This window comes from Homo sapiens, chromosome 12 (assembly GCF_000001405.40).
Source record: "Homo sapiens chromosome 12, GRCh38.p14 Primary Assembly".
Taxonomy (NCBI): domain Eukaryota; kingdom Metazoa; phylum Chordata; class Mammalia; order Primates; family Hominidae; genus Homo; species Homo sapiens.
In genome coordinates this window covers 82,839,802-82,861,752 of record NC_000012.12, presented here as the reverse complement: position 1 = coordinate 82,861,752, position 21,951 = coordinate 82,839,802, and the positions used below count along the sequence as shown (strand labels likewise).

The 21,951-nt window shown below is 39.9% G+C and overlaps 1 protein-coding gene across 6 annotated transcripts in view, besides 1 other annotated feature; it reads right to left on the bottom strand.

The window, feature by feature from the left end:
- TMTC2 (transmembrane O-mannosyltransferase targeting cadherins 2) overlaps positions 1 to 21,951 on the bottom strand; it is a 447,961-nt gene that overhangs the window by 273,114 nt on the left and 152,896 nt on the right. For 5 of the 6 annotated variants that reach the window (XM_017018884.3, NM_152588.3, XM_047428396.1 and 2 more), the window contains one exon: positions 4,173 to 4,743. The exons of the other annotated variant lie outside the window; for it this stretch is intronic. In XM_017018884.3, the coding sequence (XP_016874373.1) occupies positions 4,173 to 4,475 (303 nt within the window). In that variant the 5' untranslated portion in view covers positions 4,476 to 4,743. The remainder of the gene's footprint in view (positions 1 to 4,172; positions 4,744 to 21,951) is intronic. 6 annotated transcript variants of the gene reach the window in all.
- Positions 3,020 to 3,997: an enhancer, noted in NCBI's record as "OCT4-NANOG-H3K27ac-H3K4me1 hESC enhancer chr12:83251535-83252512 (GRCh37/hg19 assembly coordinates)". NCBI's record gives its function as "activates a minimal SCP1, AML or CMV promoter by ChIP-STARR-seq in naive H9 embryonic stem cells {active_cell/tissue: H9 hESC(naive)}" and the evidence as "EXISTENCE:reporter gene assay evidence [ECO:0000049][PMID:30033119]".

Genomic DNA, 21,951 nt, shown 5'->3' with positions numbered 1-21,951 from the left:
TTAACTACTGACAAAATTATAGTTTGACAGCATTCAACCATATTATTTTGTAAGTCATATTACTTATCTCAACGAGCATTTGTTACATAAGCTAAATAAGTTAACATCTTTAGCACACTAAGAATAGTGCTTGGCAGATATAAACACTGTTCATTAAATACTAAATAAAATATCTACTACATGCCAAGAACTTACTATTTCCCATATATTTTATCAAATAAAAATATAACTTTCATATTTCCTTTGCAAAACTGCAAAAGTCTGATGACATGCACATCATTTGCATGAGTCTTGTAACATTTTTGGTGATTAACCAAAATTCTTTAACAGAATATAAACTCCCATTCTCAGAAATCATTCTCAAGACAAATTCCGTAAATGGTTTGGAAGTATGGGGTTGTTAGCTTTGGTCTGATCACTACATCCGGATGTAGAATCAAGCTTAAGCAACACCTAAGACAAAGGTAAACTGCAATCAAAACTGGCCAAATTCAGCCAAGAGCCTTGCCCCTCTGGCCTTAATAATTTCCAGCTTTAAGTGGGCCACCATTTTTAGGTTTTCATTACTTAGCTTGTTCTCTAATTTGAGTAACAGGGTTAAACATTTGTATACTGCAGTTTTCCATTTGTATATAAGTTATGTTTTAACAGAGCAAGGAAGTTTATCTCATCTGGCAAACCATGATAACTAGGATGCAGAGTTAATTGGCAAGATATTTAAGATGATTATTTTTTAAGGTTGAATGGATCTTCTAAAGCCTTTCAGACTACTTCCTTCAGAAAGAATCTCCTCTAACTCACCCCAGGCATAGAAATCTATATATTTTACAGACAGAATATGGAATTTTCTATAACTTTCATATGGATTCTATGTCAGTGTTTACAAGCTTCACAAGCATGAGATTTTAAATGAAAGTTTGTGCTTAAATCTGTTTACTTCAGCTTTGGTCAATTACTAAGCAGTCCTTATTTCACATGCTGTCAAACAACTCTATGTGTAGAGACTACTGGCAGTTCACCTTAAGAAGGCAGAGGCCAAAAGATAAAGAATCAAAATTTCCATCGACATTTCTTCTTTCACTTCAACTAATATGTATTAGGTATCATCCAAATACTGGACACTTCAGCTCACACTGAACACCCCCACAATTTCAAATAAGCCTCACAACTCTGGGAGAGAACTATAGCTGCCTTCATTTCCAGATGAAGAAACAGATCATGGAATCAGCCCAAGTTGAGTTAAGATTCTATTCCATATTAGTTTCCTTTCTACTGGGCAGTCAATTGACTTTACCTATATTTGTTCCTCAAACTATCAGAGTGTAGTAAAGATATCACCAGATAGTCAGAGATGTGTGCTTCAGTCCTAGTGATTCCATCATTTTCTGTGTTACCTACACATCTCTGGCTCTCCACACCCCAGATGGAAATGAAGAGAGTGGCAAAGATGATCCTACAGGTCCTTAAAAATCTATAAAATGGGCTGGACGTGGTAGTTCACGCCTGTAATCCCAGCACTTTGGGAGGCTGAGGCGGGCGGATCACAAGGTCAGGAGATCAAGACCATCCTGGCCAACATGGTGAAACCTGGCCTCTACTAAAAATACAAAAATTAGCCAGGCCTGGTGACGCATGCCTGTAATCCCAGATACTCAGGAGGCTGGGGCAGAAGAGTCGCTTGAACCCGGGAGGCAGAGGTTGCAGTGAGCTGAGATCGTGCCACTGCACTCCAGCCTAGGCGACAGGGCAAGACTCGGTCTCAAAAACAACAACAACAACAACAAAAATCTATAAAATGTGTTATCTCCAATGTTCTTATTAAGCTCATTGGCCCCAAACCTAAGAATGACAGAAAGAGCTACGATAGAATAGCAAATATCAGACAAAGTCTTGCTGCCCCCGACCACTACCCTTGCTGCTGCCATTGCCTAGCCCTGCAAGTGGTGGTCGCCAAGAGAGTCTGGGCAAAGAGCCATCTGGAAACTTCTCAGGACACTGAACCTTCAACAGTATTAAGTCCTTTCTCTTAACATGGGGAACTTCACACTCTTTAGTCTCAAGAGTTCCTTGCTAGTGGCATTTCTTATTTTTGAAGCAGCTGTTACATGAATAAGGTTGACAAATAAAATACAGGATGCCCAGATAAATTTCAATTTCAGAGAAACAAAGATTAATTTTCTATTATAAGTATGTCCCAAATATTGTATAGAACATATTTCTAGGAAGGAGTACTGCAGTGGGCAACTCTGCCCTTGAAAATATGCTTAGAGGACTGTAAATTTCTCAGAGAACTTCGTAAGGTCCTGCAAGTAAATCCTGAATCATCATAGCCAAATAATTCCCTAACTTATGAGATGGTAAGATGGAAATTCTGTAAAAGAAATCACAACCGGGTGCGGTGGCTCACACCTGTAATCCCAGCACTTTGGGAGGCCAAGGCGGGCAGATCACGAGGTCAAGAGATCGAGACCATCCTGGCCAATATGGTGAAACCCCATCTCTACTAAAAATACAAAAATTAGCTGAGCATGGTGGCATGTGCCTGTAGTCCCAGCTACTTGGGAGGCTGAGGCAGGAGAATTGCTTGAACCTGGGGGGCGGAGGTTGCAGTGAGCCGAGATGGCGCCACTGCACTCCAGCCTGGCGACAGTGTGAGACTCCGCGTCAAAAAAAAAAAAAAAAAAATCACAATATTTCACAGGCGACTAATGCAAGGTCCTGAAACAGCCAGCACTAAGCCTGCATCCTCAAATACATCATAACCTCCCTAAGGACAAAGAGCAGGAATTACACTTCTCCTAGTTGTACTTCTAATAAAACAAAGTTTGCTATTGTCGATGACATTGGGTTAGATGAAAACAATTACTCTCTCTAAATCTCTTTGAAAGAATTAAAATTGATTTGAAATTAAGAGCTTGACTTTCAAACCATATGTTGTTTTCAAGCATCAAACTCTAACCAGAGTTTCTTTTAAAGTTTCAGCATTTAATTGAAATCACAAAAGAACTTCATTAAGCCCTTAATACTCTAAGTGAAAAGGTTAGGTTTCCAGCAGAGAAAAAGCACAGCAGAGATCACTCTGACTCTTAAGAGGAAAAAAAAAAAAGGGCATTTAAAAAAATTGATGTTTCGAACAGCATTTGCCTCAATTTGTTTTTAAATTTCTTCTCAATTTTAAATAAAATTAGAAATCGATGGTGAAAAAGTAGTCAAAACTAGGAAAACTTGACAGTTTCCTCATAGCAAAGTATCCAAAACCTTAATTCCTCACTTGTATCCAAAAGATAGGCGGGAGCCTGCCTAAAACATGACCAAAGTTGGCAAACCCTGGCCCAGTTCCGTCTTCACGCCAAAGTCAAAGCAACGGTGAGTTTATTCTGAGTGAAGGAGGATGGGGAGATGGGAAGGCAGACAATTTCTCAAGATGCCCCGTCCGCTCAATGCCTCTCCTTAATGCTCTAGCAGAAAACTGCTCAGTCTCTTCAAGTGTATGGGGATCCTAAAATGCTTCTGTGGCCTTCAAACAACTTTGTACTGGATACCACTAAGGGAATACGGGAGAACAAATATGCCCTAAGGCAAAGGTCTTAATTGGCCACAGGGAGAAACTCAATAATAACCATTTTCTGTTTTGACTTTTCTATTCTTATGCACTATCACGAGAAAAAGGTGAGTATGATTCATTGTTTAAGAATTTGACTTCCCAGTGCACTAAAGGGAAGGATTGTTTTCCAAAGTCAACTCAGGAAAAGTAATATTAACAAATGGCAGAGGATTTCCCCTGTAAAGTCTAGCATCTAGCTCTATTATCAGCCGTGTTATTTTTTACAAATACACGTTATAGACAATTTATCAGATTATAGACAATTTGTGCAGAAATATAGAAATAAGAACTCAATAAATAATAAAGGTGCATATTCTTTACAAGGCAAAATTATTCTTCTACCACCCTTGAAATCATGAAAGTAAGAAACCAGAGAAATAAAACAATCAGTGACTAAAACCCTGCTTAGTACAAAGGTCAAAAGGACACTTCCACTTACTGAAGATCAAAAAGGAACTTATTTTAAATTCCGCTTGCAGAGGAATAAATTTGCTTTTTAAATGGTGGCAAAGGAGTAAGCAAGTAGATTACTCAGTAATCCAATGCTCAAGAGCCAACAATCACTTACTTTGTAAATGGTAGGTAATATCTGTTTTATTTTCAGCCTGTGAAAGACAAAGACATCATAAACTGCTGAAACTGCGAGAACAGTCACTCCTTGTTCCTTCCACAACATGCTGCATCCTGCGCACAGTCCTGACCCCAGGAACCAGCCCCAGGTTCTGGCTGAGTAGCCTCTTGTAGAACAGTGTTTAATGTAGCAGAGCAAGGAGAGGAGAAAGAAGAGACTGGCCCCGACATCGGCTCGTCCCACGATTCCTGCCACTGCCTCCGTGTGAATGGGGTGAGAAGCAAACATCAAGCCAGCCATGAATGTCCAGTATCCATCACCAAGGAGGATCTTGGAGAAGCTTGTGAAGAGACCAGTGACTGCTGCATGCAACAGGACATTGACAAGATGGTAGCTCCAGGGATTCAACCCTCCAATGGCATGGTTCAGGCGAAAAGAAAGAGTGCAGAGTGGCCGGTAGGACTTGTGGCTGCCACTGTGGGTTAGAAGAGTCCCCCAAAAATCATTGTAGAAAATGTGCGTCCATGGAGTTTCTGGGAGAAGGTCCTGATTAGTCTTGATAGCACGGCTAAAAAACAAAACGTTAAAAAAAATCAAATGTAAAACACAGAAAGAAAGAAAAAATATGACATTGATAAGATACTGCCTTTCTCAGAAGCTTTGTTACTATGTAGCTTTGTGATGGGATTCCAGGCACATATAAGCTGAATTCATGTCCTCCCCTTAATGCTTACTAAAACCACAATGAGGGTTGTTTTTCTCTTCCTTAAAAGCTTCCTTCCTTGTTGAAATGCAAGTATCTTTGAAGAATAAAGTTCTTCAACTGGTTTAAGCCTTAATGTAGCAGTCTGCCAAACAACTGCCCTGAAAATCATGTGACATACTGGCTAAAAATGAATATTCCAGATCGAGGCTGGGCCTGAGAATCTGCATTTTTAAGAAGCAAGGCCCAGGTGATGCAAGGACTAGCCTCCTACTAGAAATAAATTAATAAATTTTACAGGGAATATCAGTGCCCGGTGCTTCTCATACATACAAATCACCTGACAACCCTGTTAAAAGGCAGGTTCTGATTCAGTAGGCCTGGGGAGAAGCCAGAGAGAGAGTCCACATTCCAGTAGCTCTCAGGTGATGCTGATGTTGATGGTCCTTGGACCACATGTTGAGTATTAAGGGCCCAGATAACTGGAAAGACTAGGAAGAATGGCTCTCCACCTATCCAGTGTTTCCCTTCCTACTGCATTCTAATAAACTTCAGCCTTTCCCACTTCTTAGCTTTCATGGGACTTACTACCCTCTATAGAAATCTTCATGGTGCTTCACTGATTCTTGCTTTTGAGGATAGTTTCCATTTGCATGCCTGATATTTTCAAACAGACTTCAAGAAGGAAGGACCTACTAATTGCTAAACAATTGATACACTGCCAAACACCATGCTGGTCTCCTTGGCTACATCTCATTTAATCTTTAGAGCAACACTGATGAGGTAGATATTATTCTCTACATCTCTCAAGTGAGAAAGTTTGTGGTTCAGAAAGATTAATTAATAACTGGCCCAGAGTCACACAAGTTGAGAGCAGTAACACAGAGCTTCATGGCTAATTCCCTTTCCACTATTCTGGGTTTCCCAAAATATGATCCATCTACTACTGGGGACATGTAAAAAGATGTCTGCACTTTGTAAAAACTGTAATGGTTATATTCATGTTAAGGTTATTTGAAAGTAAATTTCATTACCATATCAAAGCTGGATTTCCTAACTATGGCTCAGAATAAAGCTGTTGAAAATTAAAAAGTGAATATAAAGAAAAGGATTAAAGACTCAAAAGTACTGACATATGTGGATAAGGTACAAACATTGAATGTGGCATTAAATTATTCAGTTTGGAACATCCTGGCTCTGTGCCACTATCCTCCCAGAGAACAGAGTGGCATTTGGAGTCTTTTTGTATCCCTAGTGAACCTATCTCTGTATTTACAGAACATATAAGAGACACATGAGTTAGTAAGGGCACAGGAATGAGAACTCCAGAACTATAAAACTCTTGCCTAGTCTGATATCAGGGCTTTTTAAGGAGCTGTGGGCATCTGTGTGGATAAAGACTATGTTGTGGGAGACTGTCTTAATGATGTTCAACTCTAGGCCCTCCACCAGTTCTGCCTTCTCTTGTGAGGCAGGTGTGATCAGAGAAATTTCCACATGAGTATTACCGAAAAGCAGGTTGGAAAAACTCTGGATTCAGGGAAAACGTTCCTGAGTCCTAACTCTTTCATTCACTGCCTGACTGCAAAAATAAACTATCACAGAGACTCAGCAGATTAAGAAACCCATCTAAGGTGATCTCACCAGTGGAAATAACTGAGTTAGTATTCTAGTTGAGTTCAAATGACTAGGCATGATAGTTTTCAACTGCTTCTCTAGATTGCTTCCCAATTAACCTTTCTGAGCTTCAGTTTCTGTGATAATAGTTTTACCTTGAAATCATTTAATAAACATGTATAATTGTTCATTTGTCTTCTATATAGAGAAGCAGAGAACAGTGCTTTACATATACATGAGTGTTCTGGACACCCTAGTGCAAATGATCTCTCTGCCCTGTTAGCTGCGCTGTTATTATTATATAAAGACTAGGATACAATCTATGAAAAGTCCCTTATTAAAGTCTTCCTGACCCATAACCTGGGAAATTAGGTGCATTTTGGGGTTAGAATTAAAATAGGCCGATCAGAAGTTGATGATTATATACAATGTGCCAAATACCATGCTAATCCATATAATAATACATATATTATCTACTAATAAGAACTAGTTGACTTTTCTAAATGTTCAATAAAAAGGCAAAAGATCTGTGAAAATCTTCAATTACTCCATGTGGCCGGGATGGTTCACTATATCAGGGATATCACCCAATATCTATTCTCTCTCTTTTCCATACAAATGAACTTTAATTTTTAGTTGGGCATGTGGTCATTTAGAAAAAAATTTATTTCCCTATCTTCCCTTCATACTAAATATGATCATATGATGAATTTTTGTCTACTACTTCCAGAAAGTGTCCTTAAAAGGAAAAGCTTAGCCTTCTTCCCCTGCACCCCTCCCCTCCACCCCTACCCTCCTCCTTCCTGCTGAGTGGAGCACATATGTAATGGTTGGAGTTCCAGCAGCCATCTTGGCCCACAAGGTGTCCTTAGGAATAGAAATCATGCAGAGAGCAGAGCAGTAAGATTGAGGGAAACTCAGTCCCTGTTACAAAAGACCATAGTGACCCTGGGCTAACTACCTCCTATTTCTTCAGTATGAGAAATAAGTTGCTACCTTTTCTAAACTGATATTTTGAGTGTTAACTAGTAACAGTTGAACCCAGTCATGAGCAAAATCCTTTATTAAAAGAAGACCTATTACAGAACAGTAGATTGATTTTCCATTTTGATTTTGATTTTTACAAGTCTCCATGTATTGACTGTGTATTAAATAAATTTCCATATAAATTGGCTTTTAAAATATTAGAACCAGATGTTATTCTGGATCTATTAAATTAAAACACCCTGCTATGACATTCATCAAGAGTCTACCCAGAAGTAATTGCTTAAGACTTGATGGGTTATAATTAAAATTTAAAAGAAATATGAAAAAAAAAAACAACTGCCAAACTGCCAAAGAGTGTTGCCAGAAAGAGCTTATTTCAAGCAATAGAGAATGAAACCCAGGCTTCAACTAGACATTAACCTAGATATTGATGTAAATATCTCTAATATCAATCCAGAAACCCTCATACCATCAAGGCCAGGGCAGTGGAGAGCTCAAAGGCAAACCATTCTGGGATAAGGCTTTGTCAAGGCAGTGAGAAAAACTGTGAGGCACGCTTTGTTTAGAGTAATACTCCATCCTTTCTGTGGCAGATCCCAAAGAATGAAGAATCATCTTTTCCAAACCTGGATTTCTACATGCTATTAGTTCAATGCCATGACCAACTATGTAAAGGCTTTTGATAAAAAATTCACCCATTAAAAAATCTGTTCAAAGCTGCTGGAATTTATCTTTATAGCAATAAATCTAGCAGCCTACAGCAGCCACGAGATATACTACATCCAAAGACCCTCCACCAAAAAGGGTTTCAACACAAAGAACACAATTAACACATCTCATAATTTTACCGTGAGAAAAAAACCTTTGAGGCCGGGCATGGTGGCTCATGCCTGTAATCCCAGCACTTTGGAAGTCTGACGCAAGTGGATCACCTGTGGTCAGGAGTTTGAGACCAGCCTGACCAACATGGTGAAACCCCATCTCTACTAAAAATACAAAAATTAGGCAGGCATGGTGGCAGGCACCTATAATCCCAGCTATTCAAGAGCCTGAGGCAGGAGAATTGCTTGAACCCTCGAGGTGGAGGTTGCAGTGAGCCGAGATCGCGCCACTGCACTCCTGCCTTGGCAATAGAGTGAGACTCCGTCTCAAAAAAAAAAAGAAAAAAAACTTTGAAACACAGCCCTAAATTTACATGGAAAAAAAGACAAACATAGTTAATAAAACAAAAATGAAGGAGCAAAAGAGTATCTCATCCATGTGAAAAACATACTATACTAAGGGAGACATTAGTATGATAAAATTCTCCAATGTGTGTTATCTGCTTAAGTAGGATTTTATTTAACCAATGAATATTATGATAAAAAATATGGAAGACTAAAATGTACTGGAATTTAATATACAAGTCATGTCACACATGCAGGTCAGTGATAAGGGATGCATTACACCACCTCAACATCCTATTAAGAAAGATACAGACCAACAGGGCCTTAATAGAATCTGAGTAATCCTCCAGCAAAATAAGAAAAAGGGAGTCATTCAAACCTAAGCATAATAGATTTTGATTCATTTGCATTTCCTTCTATGAGTCCAAAATAGAAATAGTAAAACCTCTTCTGCTGTTTCACAGCTAATGAAACACCTTGACTCAAAACAAAATTTCATGCTGATATAATTTTTGAGGTTGCTTCCGTGAAATGGTGTTGAAAATTCAGAAAGGCACTAAGGAATCAGGATATTTTCCACTCTAGGAAAGGTGGAGGAACTCAGAGCAGCAGATATGGGAAAAAAACAATTGTTGGCAGAATTCCCTAGAGAACACAGGACTGAGAAACTGTCTTTTTGAAGCAAAAAGATAGTCTCTGGCCGGGCGCGGTGGCTCACGCCTGTAATCACAGCACTTTGGGAGGCCGAGGACGATGGATCACGAGGTCAGGAGATCGAGACCATCCTGGCTAACACAGTAAAACCCTGTCTCTACTAAAAACACACACACACAAAATTAGCCGGGCGTGGTGGCGGGCGCTTGTAGTTCCAGCTACTCGGGAGGCTGAGGCAGGAGAATGGTGTGAACCCGGGAGGCGGAGCTTGCACTGAGCTGAGATCCCACCACTGCACTCCAGCCTGGGCGACAGAGCGAGACTCCATCTCCAAAAAAAAAAAAAAAAAGATAGTTTCTGAAGTCTTCAAGGAAGTCTTAGCCTGTGTCCAGGTTTGTTCATTTGTGGCTCTTTGTTTTTGTTGCCTTATGATTTTTCCTTTAGAAAATGTTGACAAAGGCCAACACTATTGTAAAACTGATGAATGATGTGACACTGCCACCCAAACTGTCCTTGTGTGTCTTTCTCTCACAGCTTTTTTTTTTTTGTCTCGTGACCTTTTCAGTCATAAGCACCCATGTAAGTAATGACCAGTAGTCCTTCAGAGCAGGAATGACGCTTAGATTCTTCCAACATCAAATGGCGCTGTTCTGACATGCTTTCAATTGTTCTACTTGAAAGTAAGCAAAGGCCAAACTTAAATTAAAAAAAATAAATAAATAACAGTAGGTTGAAATGTTCTTTGCAAGAAAGATAAGAAAAAAGACTGGCCTTTGTTAACCTGCCCTGCTTCAGTGCTGCCCAGTGCAATGCAGCAGTTAAGAAAATCCATTGTGTAGCCAACTGGATACACTAAAGTTGTGAGACAGCAGACACAGTTATTTCACCTCTCTGTACCTTAGTTTCCTCAACTGTAAACTAGAGAGCACTATACTTGCCTTATAGGATCATTGTGAAGAGTAAATGATTACATGCAATATAATGTGAGTATGTAACATAGGTAACATATGTTAGCAATTTTTTGTTGTTGTTTTGGAGACAGAGTCTCACTCTGTCGCCCAGGCTGGAGTGCAGTGGCATGATCCCTCCACCTTCTGGGTTCAAGCGATTCTCCTGCCTCAGCCTCCCCAGTAGCTGGGATTACAGGTGCCCACCACCACACCTGGCTAATTTTTGTATTTTTAGTAGAGATGGGGTTTCACCATGTTGGCCAGACTGGTCTCGAACTCCTGACCTCAGGTGATCTGCCTGCCTCGGCCTCCCAAAGTGCTGGGATTACAGGCGTGAGTCACAGCACCTGGTTACATGTTAGCTATTATTATCATCATCAACACCAAACAACTGATGCTAGCCATCAATGCAAACACAATGTTGTTTTCTTTTTTTTGAGATGGAGTCTCGCTCTGTCACTCAGGCTGGAGTGCAGAGGTGCAATTTCAGCTCACTGCAACCTCTGCCTCCCGGGTTCAAGTGATTCTCCTGCCTCAACCTCCTGAGTAGCTGGGACTACAGGAGCACGCCACCACGCCCAGCTAATTTTTGTATTTTTAGTAGAGATGGGGTTTAACCATGTTGGCCAGGATGGTCTCCATCTCTTGACCTCATGATCTGCCCACCTCAGCCTCCCTAAGTGCTGGGATTACAGGCGTGAGCCACTGTGCCCTGCCCACTGTGTTATTTTCATCATGTTTATAGCATTCCAAAATCAGTGGATCATGGTCATGAATATTTCACTAAAAATTCCTTTAAGCTTTCCTGATACTTTGAAAAAGACAATAAGCATTTATGAAGTGATAACTGTAGTCTTTAGCACATTACTCTTCTCATTACTTTTCTCATTCTCTTCCTATCTTTTTGAGGACCTTGTTCTAACCCTCCCAAATGTGGCTGTTTCTCTCCTGGTCCCATCGCCTGACCTTCTCTTTCTCTGCAATTTCCACCTCTTTGGTGGTCATATCCAACAACTGCAACTCAAGGGATGACTTCTCCATTATATGACTCCACCCACTCTAGCCTGGGGGTTGCTCACGAGCCTACACTTCCAACTGTCCATTTGACATCCACATTTGAATGGAAGAAAGATTAATGGAATCCAGGGTCTTCTATTAACACTACATGTGCTGCTTTTGCGAATTAGCCTCTCTAAAGCTCCATTTCCATACCTATGGTTTACAGATAATGTTAATGACGCTTTTCACAAAATGTCATGTTAAAAATCAAACAAGGCAATGTTAACTTAAAATGCTTGGAATTTATATAGCATTGCGCACTGGACACTACATGTTTTTGCAGACCCCCTCCTTTTAGTAACAGTGTCTTGGTTTTCTTTTTAAGAATAGCCCACATCTATTCTCAGTCCACGTGGGTAGGATGACACTGCCCTTACCCCCAGATGAAAGGTTAATGTACTGTATCTCCCCACCCCCATCACTGGCCACACAATTGACTTAGGTTCAAGCAAGGGCAGCAGGAGTCAATATGGTACCAACTATGTACTAGGAAAAGGCATCTTCTTTTAAGAATGAAATTTTAAAAATCCTAGAGCTGCTTGAGAATTGCCTGAAGACAGGGTCAGCCTGAGGGTGAAACCAAAATAAAAGAACCAAAATCAAGGAGATAAAGGCAATTCCTAGTGTAGCCGGATCCAATCATACCTGAAGCTAGTACTATACTGTCAAATAAGCCAGTAAATGCCTCTTAGTCATAAAGTAGCTTGAGTTGCTATTCTGACATCTGCAACCAAAAGTGTATTAAATAGTATGGCACTGTGTAATTCCCATGTAACATTGGTAGTTTCAGTACCTTAAGCTTAGTAAGTCTGAATCCAAACTAATTTTCTCCACAAACCATCTCTTTTTCATACAGTCTCATCATTGAATATCATCATTCTTCCATTACTGAAATTAAGGTTGTACATGACAGCTTCTTATGGTTTTGCTCCTATATCTATTTTTAAATTGGTTAAGGACATTTTAAAGCTGTTCAGGACCTCAGAGAAAATTCAATTCAGAAGTTTCCCTTGAATCTGCCTCTAATTTCCCTTTTCTCTTACCCTCATTCAGGCCTGCTTTATTTTCTGACTGCATTGCTTAGCATGCTTATTAAAACTGCCTGATCATTTTTTCTCTTTCCTTCATTAGGCTATAGGTCACCTCTGGAAAGGAATTGTCTTTTCTCCCAGTGTCCAACACATCTTAGGCATGCAACAAATATTGTTAAACTGAACTAAATAGCTATCCCTGCCTGCCTTCATTCCCACTTTGATCCATTATGCATGCTATGGATAGAAAAACTTCCTGCAATGTAACTCTAATACCAGCACTCCTCTCCACAAAGGTCCCTCATTCTGCCCTATTTCTTACCATAATAAACAACCTTCACAGCTCGCATTCACAGCCTTCCTCTTGATGACCTCAAGGCCAATCTCCCATCACTTCTCCATACGCATGCTAATTTAAGCCAAACTTCCCTTCCTCTATGCTGCCGCTCAAACCATTTCTTTTCCCCCTCTACCTGGATTACTATCCTTCTACCATTACATCTTTCCAAATATGCTTCAACCACCAATGCTCATTTGCAAAGCCACTGTCCTCTCAATCCTTTCCTAGTTATTGTGGCAGAATATGCTGGCTTTTGACTTTGAGTATTGACACATTCCCATTAACAACACTGACTGCTTGCTACAAATATCAGGGATCTTAAATGGGATGATATATGGGAGATATTTCAGGAGTGGGAAGAAATGTATGCTTTGAAAATAGCACACAGGTGATCTTAACATTCCCTCTTCTGTCTCTATTGAAAATCATTGCCCAATAAAATGGAATGTCTGTCCAGAGAAAATCACTCACTCATTCCTTTATTCATTCATTCATTTATAAGCAAGGCACTGTGAAGAACACTGAAAATGGAATGATGAGCAAAATAGAGCCCCTGACATTAAATATTCAGCCAAGTAGACAAGGCAAATAAATGTACAAGGAGTTTCCCTGTAGTATGATAAATACTATCTAATACAAATAATGACTGGTATGGGAGAACACAAAACAGATGCCCAATGTCTTAGAGGGTCAAAAGTTTCCAGGAGGAAAGCATATCTGCATACATGTAAAAAGTTCAATGAAGGAGAAAGGAAACTGTGGCGATACTTCCAGGCCAACAGTCAATATTTTCAAAGACTCTGGGACAGGAGAGAGCATGGCAAGTCTGATATCTGAAAATACAGTTAAGTATGGATGGAATGAAGCTTGAGGGATGGAGCAGCAGGAATAACTGGCATTACTCTGTCATGTATGATTCTTCTTCATGGGATGGACAGGAATTTGGCTGGACATGAATCTCTCAATGATCTTCAGGTTTGATTCATTTATTGTCTTGAAACTTCATCTCCCCAATATATTGCTAACTCCTTAGAAGTTGAAAAGGCATCTTATTTATCTTTTGGAGCCTAACATACATAGTACTCAATATGTATCTAATAAACTAAATTCTTTTTTAAAATTATTATTATACTTTAAGTTCTAGGGTACATGTGCACAACGTGCAGGCTTGATACATAGGTATACATGTGCCATGTTGGTTTGCTGCACCCATCAACTCCTCATTTACATTAGGTATTTCTCCTAATGCTATCCCTCCCCCAAGTCCCACACCCCCTGACAGGCCCCCGTGTGTAATGTTCCCTGCCCTGTGTCCAAGTGATCTCATTGTTCAATTCCCACCTATGAGTAAGAACATGCGGTATTTGGTTTTCTGTCCTTGCGATAGTTTGCTGAGAATGATGGTTTCCAGCTTCATCCATGTCCCTGCAAAGGACATGAATTCATCCTTTGTTATGGCTGCATAGTATTCCATGGTGTATATGTGCCACATTTTCTTAATCCAGTTTATCACTGATGGGCATTTGGGTTGGTTCCAAGTCTTTGCTATTGTGAATAGTGCCACAATAAACATACGTGTGCATGTGTCTTTATAGCAGCATGATTTATAATCCTTTGGGTATATACCCAGTAATGGGATTGCTGGGTTAATAAATTAAATTCTAATTAGAGATGATTGGTACTGATAAACTGCATTTACCGTTTTGGAAAATTCTAGATTGTTTTAAGTATGTAGGGAATTATCACTTTCATCTAAAAGTGGTTCACTCAGGCCACTAACCTCTACTCACTCAATGATAATTAACTGTGAAAAACCACCAGGTTAACTGGCTTAGCCACATGTCTTTGGCACTCATTTGCCACTTAACCTATAATCCCTTCATTAGAGTACCTCTTTAGGGATAAGCCATTATATTTAGAAAGCTCCAGTTAATATGCAAATACTTGGCTAATAGGGTAAGAGAATGAGAGAAATACTATGCATCTAAAGCTCATCTTACTTTGGGGATGAGCACTGTATTTCAGATTCCTGTATGAAATTAAGGTAGGGCAAATAAATTACAGTGTGGGGTGCTGGGTTGTTAGGGGCAGTGTTAGGTTTCTAGGTCCCTAGGGTAAAGGAAGGCACTACGCTTTGGACAAGCGTTTATCATTACACTGGTAACACTTTTCCAAATTTGCTTGTTTTTATCTTGATCTCTTCCTACTAGATTGTAAAACTTTCATGGACAAAAATGACAACTTTGTAAGCATTAATAAATGCTGGCACTTAATAAATTGTTACCACACATATGTTGAATGAAAAGAGAATACAGGAAGTTATTAAAGAGCCTGTTGTCAGACACCCAATGGTCAGCGACCCCGAATAACTGCTGGTTTTGAGAAAATTCTACGAATGCTAAGTCTTCCAACTACAGGAATATTCTTAGTGGATCCCGCTTCCATCCCTTTACGAGTTTTTCCGATAAGCAATAAAGGAATTTTATGAGCTATATCTGCACAGCAAGATATACCTCCCTAACCCTAGGCCCCTAAGAAAAAAGAAAAGTCAACTTGTGATTAAAAATGGCCCCAGCTGCAGCTAAACTCAGCCCCCAAGATGTTGGAGATTTGCCTTCATAGAGCTTCCATGGATGATGAGGAAGCTCCTTCTCATCTCAAGTCAAGAAGTTTACCTAGACAATCTTTCCTGTTTTTCGTTTTTTTTAAAAAAAAGACAGAGTCTCGTTCTGTTGCCCAGGCTGGAGTGCAGTCACATGATCTCAGCTCACTGCAACCTCCGCCTCCTGGGTTCAAGCGATTCTCCTGCCTCAGCCTCCCAAGTAGCTGGGACTATACGTGTGCGCCACAATGCTGGCTAATTTTTGTATTTTTAGTAGAGATGGGGTTTCACCATGTTGGCCAGGCTGGTCTCGAACTCCTGACCTCAAGTGATCTGCCTGCCTCGGCCTCCCAAAGTGCTGGGATTACAGGCGTGAGCCATGGCACTGGCACTCTTTCCTCTTAGTAGGAGAAAATGAGGAAGTAGAATGTTGGCTAAATATTTTTAAAAATATCTTTAGTTCCCCCGATAAAGCAATGCTGTCATTTTCACAATTTCTACAGGAAATATCAAAAAAAAAAAAAACAAACACAAAAAACACTGTGACCCTGAAAACTAATAAACCATTTAAAAGAATGTTTATCACGTATAATTAAAACTTGAGTTACCTAGAGATGTTTTTAAATGTTATATGAAAAGCATTTTGCAAAATTAAAGCAAAAACTAATACAACATGAAAATATGAGAAATACCACACTCTAAGCACTTTCACTGATTAAAATAATGAGTGAAACAACTTGAGCTACTTTTCACAGACTTGCAATTTGCATGATGAAAAACAGTATAAATATTTTGCACATAATCAGTTGGTCACTATATCCATATCAGAACATCCTAACATAATTCAGTACACCTCACCTCCTTCTCACCGTACTATACTGTATCAGAGTTTCAATTTAAAAGCTTAATGAAAATAACTTGTTTCTAATTTTCCAGATTTGAAATTAGAAACAACTAGAAGGGATACTGTAAGGCTTTCTCACACCTAAAAGTTAAATCAGGTACTATACATGAACCACTTTAGTCCATTTGTTTACATAATTTATGAATTTTGATTTTGTAGGTTTTCATCAACTCATAGCTACATTAAAAAGTTCATTTTCAAAATTTTTACATCTAATACTATGTTTCCCCTACAATAAGGTCTTGAGGATTTGTGGTATTTGTGGTATGTTGCAATGTGTGACTAGTTCAATATATATATATATATATATATTTTTTTTTTTTTTTTTTTTTTTTTTTGAGACAGTCACGCTCTGTCACCCAGGCTGGAGAGCAGTGGCACGATCTCGGCTCACTGCAACCTCTGTCTCCCAGGTTCAAGCGATTCTCCTGTCTCAGCCTCCCAAGTAGCTAGGATTACAGGCGCCCGCCACTACGCCCAGCTAATTTGTTGTATTTTTAGTAGAAATGGGGTTTCACCATGTTGGCCAGGCTGGTCTTGAACTCCTGACCTCAAGTGATCCGCCCACCTCGGCCTCCCAAAGTGCTGGGATTACAGGTGTGAGCCACCGCACCCGGCCCCTTACAGTTTTTCTATATTAAAAACATGATTACTGTTTGACTTCAAGGGATGGAATGAATACGAGATTATACTTTTTTTAATGAAGTTCGATGCTTTCAAAAATGAATGAGCTCTATGGAACACTAGATTCTTTTTTTTTTTTGAGACGGAGTCTCACTCTATCGCCCAGGCTGGAGTGCAGTGATGCGATCTCGGCTCACTGCAAGCTCCGCCTCCTGGGTTCCCGCCATTCTCCTGCCTCAGTCTCCCGAGCAGCTGGGACTACAGGCGCCCGCCACCAAGCGCAGCTAACTTTTTGTATTTTTTAGTAGAGACGGGGTTCCTCTGTGTTAGCCAGGATGGTCTCGATCTCCTGACTTCGTGATCTGCTCGCCTCGGCCACCCAAAGTGCTGGGATTACAGGCTTGAGCCACTGCGCCCGGCTGGAACACTAGATTCTAAAAGAGAGAACGTAACTATAACCATCAGATTCCAATAACACCTATTTTGTGCATGGTCTTGGTCTATGTGCTTTTGCAGAACAAAAGGTATAATCTTTGTGCCTAGGGATTTGATTATCCAAATATACTCTCTAAGGATGCAGGCATGGCAAGCTAAGAATACACCCAGTTAAAATACTTGCCTTTACGCATGTGCTGTACACATTTCAGAACAGATAAAGTACATGGCAATTTTCCTCTAACTATTCAAGTATTACTTTAAAAAAATTCACATCCTGTGGGGTCATAATCTTCACCTAGGGTAAATAGGAAAAGTACCCTCTGGCTATGAACACTGATTGTGAATCCACTGACTCCTCAGCCTGAAAACTACCAGACCAGGAAAGTAAAAGGGGAAAAAGTTTTAAAGGGAGAAACTAACAGGCTCTAGGAAACGAAGTCTTGGGAGTGGAAAGACATTCATGATGCATTATCCAGATGTTTAGCTTATCTGCTCACCTAATACTCCTGTCTTCTCTGAATTGAGTCTTAACCAAATCAACTTTTTTGTCCTCCCAAGACCGAGTCTCACTCTGTCGCCCAGGCTGGAGTGCAGTGGTGTGATCATGGCTCACTGCATCCTCCGCCTCCTGGGTTCAAGTGATTCTCGTACATCAGCCTACCAAGTAGCTGGCACTGCAGGCGCCTGCCACCAGACCCGTCTAATTTTTGTATTTTTAGTAGAGACGGGGTTTCACCATGTTGGCCAGACTGGTCTTGAACTCCAGACCTCAAGTGATCCACCCGCCCCGGACTCCCAAAGTGCTGGGATTACAGGTGTGAGCCACCACACCCGGCCCAAATCACCTTTCTTTACCCAGAACTCCTGCAGCCATACAGAATAGCCAAGAAGCTTATTTTACACAAATGTTTGCAATAATCCTTACCCTTTCATACTTAAAATATTCTACATGTTGCCAATCTATCCCTCACAGGTATTCCTGTTATAATACTACCTTGTATTTGTATCACCTTTTTACATTTTACAAAATGTACTCAGGTTCATGATCTTCTTCAAGCCTCATCATGACTCTGTGAGTAAGTGGATATGGATGTGGACACTGGAAAGTAAGAGTCCTGCTGGGCATGGTGGCTCACGCCTGTAATCCCAGCACTTTGGGAGGTCAGGGCAGGCAGATCACTTGAAGTCAGGAGTTCGAGACCAGCCTGGCCAACATGGTGAAACCCCGTCTCTACTAAAAATAGAAAAATTAGCTGGGCGTGGTGGCGGGCACCTGTAATCCTGGCTACTTGGGAAGCTGAGACAGGAGAATCGCTTGAACCCGGGAGGCAGAGATTGCAGTGAGCCGAGATTGTGCTACTGCGAGACAAAAAAAAAGAAAGAAAGAAATTAAGAGTCCTACTCGAGACTATTAGGGTCAGTAAAGATCAGAGCTGCACATACAAGAATTTAACTTTGTCACTGCTCTTTGTCTACTGCTCTCCCTGTTATGTGCCACACACACTGTGCCATGTCCTGCCTTGCCACCCCCAAATTCATATGTTGAAGTCCTAATCTCCAGTACCTCAGAATGTGACTGTATTTGTAGATAGGATCTTTAAAGAGGTGGTTAAGTTAAAATGAGGCATTTCGGGTGGGTCCTAATCCAACATGACTGGTGTCCAAGAAAAAAAATTTGGACACACACAGAGACATCAGAAATGCACATGAGAAAAGAAAGACCATGCTAGGACACAGCAAGAATGTGGCCATCTGCAAGCCAAGGAGTGAGGCCACAGGAGAAACCAAACCTGCTGACACCATGATCTTGATTTCTAAAGTCTAGAACTGTGAGAACATAAGATTCCATTGTTTATGCTACCCAGTCTGTGGTGGTCTGTTACGGCAGCCCTAGAAAAATAATAAGCCCTACTATACCATAGAGACAGTACCATATTATTACATATGCTATATACTGTTTATCTTTCAGTTTCAGGAAAACTACATTTCACGTACAAGCCATATTTCTACAATATATACTATGTCTGCTGCTGTTTTTGATGACTCGTTGAACTGCTTTGTGATTGTAAATAGGGTTTTAAGAGGTATCTTATTCTCAGTTCTGACAGAATTTGTCTAGATTCTCTACCAGAGGAAAAAAAAATTTGAATCACTCAATGGGGCCAATACAACAACAAGGCACTAATGCTAACTAAACAGACACAATAAAACACTAGTGTCACATCATATTTACATTGAGATTGACAAAGTTTACAAAGCACACATATTATCTCAATTTATCTTCAATAATGCTACAAACTAGAAAACTGAAGTTGGAGGGGTTAAGTTAATTAAAGAAGTGCATACACTTAATAAGAGGCAGAAAGGACTTGAACACCGTTCTCCAAACTACTCCATTTAACCTTCAAAGCAGCCTGTGTTCCTCCACATGTACAATAAATCTCCAGTGAGAAGTGTTTGCAAGACGATTTGAAAGTAAAATCCCAGTCTATTATTGCATTTTGTCTGGAATCCATATATCTGCCCTCAAGACTCAATAAAGCTATAAAAAACACTTTTGTACCATATTCTTTTAATTTCTGCATTTCAAAAAGAAAGTCTTCTTTTAACACTAAGGAATCTTGGAAAACTTGAGTCAAAAGAAGGTGTTACTTGTCTTGCAGTGACGGGTGGAAAAGGCAGCTTTATGAGAGCCAAACGCTAACCTATAATTTCATATTACAAAATTTAAATAGAAAACATATTCTGGCAGAGACTTTGCTGCCTGCATCCCTTTTCAGCTATAAAATAGTTATACACACACACATACATCTGAGAAAGATCAGACTTTGAACATATTGTAGCAACACACATGCGAAACATGGGAAGTTTCACCAGGGCTGCCAGTGATGACAGGGTACACAGACATCCCTACATTAAAATCAGCCTCACAGCTAAATCAGAGTTTTTTCGGACACACGGATATGCGAGCGCTGATGAAAAACAGATAGGCAAGGAGGAAAACACTCTAATTTAAAAATAACACAGATGAGCTTACACAAAGTACCCAAACATTTGGTCTGCAAACCACCAGCAACTCTAATTTGTCATGGAAGGCAAGAGATATTTCATCCAAGAATGAGGGGAGAAAGAGAGATATTAACTCTAGCATTAAAATTTACTGACATCCTAATATATACTGTAGTACTTTCTAATCTTTATATCATTTCTTGACCAAACTTTAATAATCAAGAAATAAATTAGATTTCAGGGAGCTCTAACACGTTTTATTCTGTAGCCCTTTAAATAAATCACATAGCAGGCACTTGATATATACACATATATGATAAATGTTATGTGAAAACTATCAGCTTTTTCAGATCTCAGTTATGAACAGATAAATTATGAAGCACTAACATGTCCCTTTAAGAACAGTAAAATCTTGGCCAGGTGTAGTGGCTCATACCTGTAATCCTAGCATTTTGGGAGGCTGAGGTGGGTGGATCACCTGAGGTCAGGTGTTTGAGACCAGCCTGGCCAACATAGTGAAATCCCGTCTCTACTAAAAATACAAAAATTAGTCAGGCATGGTGGCAGGCACCTGTAATCCCGGCTACTCAGGAGGATAAGGCAGGAGAATTGCTTGAACCTGGAATGTGGAGGCTGAAGTGAGCCAAGATCACGCCACTGTACTCCAGCCTGGGCTACAGAGCAAGACTCCACCTCAAAGAAAAACAAAACAAACCGGAACAAAACAAAAGTAAAATCTCAAGTGATGGTATAGTTTAGCCTTTTGCTGACCCCAAATTCATATACTTGGAACAGGTGTATACGCGCAGTGCCTTTTTAGCTCTCCATGTCTATGACTACTACATCAGATAACCTCTGCAAAGACTAGAAATCCCAAAACCAGGACCATGAGATCATTTTTATTCAATCGTGACCATCACAATAAACATAATTTCTGTCACCCTGGCCACTGCCAATAAAATAATATTTTTTCTATGTACAAGTAACCGTGCTAATTAAATAAATTCACAAGGCATAAAATGAACAAGTAAAATTTAAACATAAGAATGGAAGATGGTATTCAGAGAAATCTAAGAACAACCAATCTAACTTTTTACTCCAATATGTGAAGAAAACAAAAGTCTACATTCATCTCTTATCTGAAGCAACTCCCCAAATCCACACTGTGTTAAACACACATACACACACACTTTAGAGTTTGCCAAATTTTGATTGAAATCATTCCTCTTGGACTTACTAGCTGTTAGGATTCAAGTTTTCATCTAAAAAATGTTGTTTATGGTGAACAGTAAATAAGGTAACTAGGTTAACTCCAAAGCACAGTGCATGACGCACAGTAGGGGCTTCACAAATGACTGCTTCAGTTACAGTGATTCACCTGCCTCGCCTTCCTGGATGCTGTAGGCGAGCACTTTTTCCTGAAATGTTGGTCAATACCCCTATATATAGCATGCAGTTACTGGTATCATTTATCTTTCCTCTTTGCATATTCTCTAGGACTTTGCTCCTCTCTCCCACGCTGCACCCATGTGAAATTTTGCTTGCATTAATCATAAATTAAGCCCAATAGCCAATCTAAGAGCACAAGAATGATGTTCACAGCAGCCAAACTCAGCTGGAAAGATGGATGACAGCAAGGTTAAGTGAGGTGATCAAAAAGCATAAAATAAAAAGAAGTTACAGGACTTATAT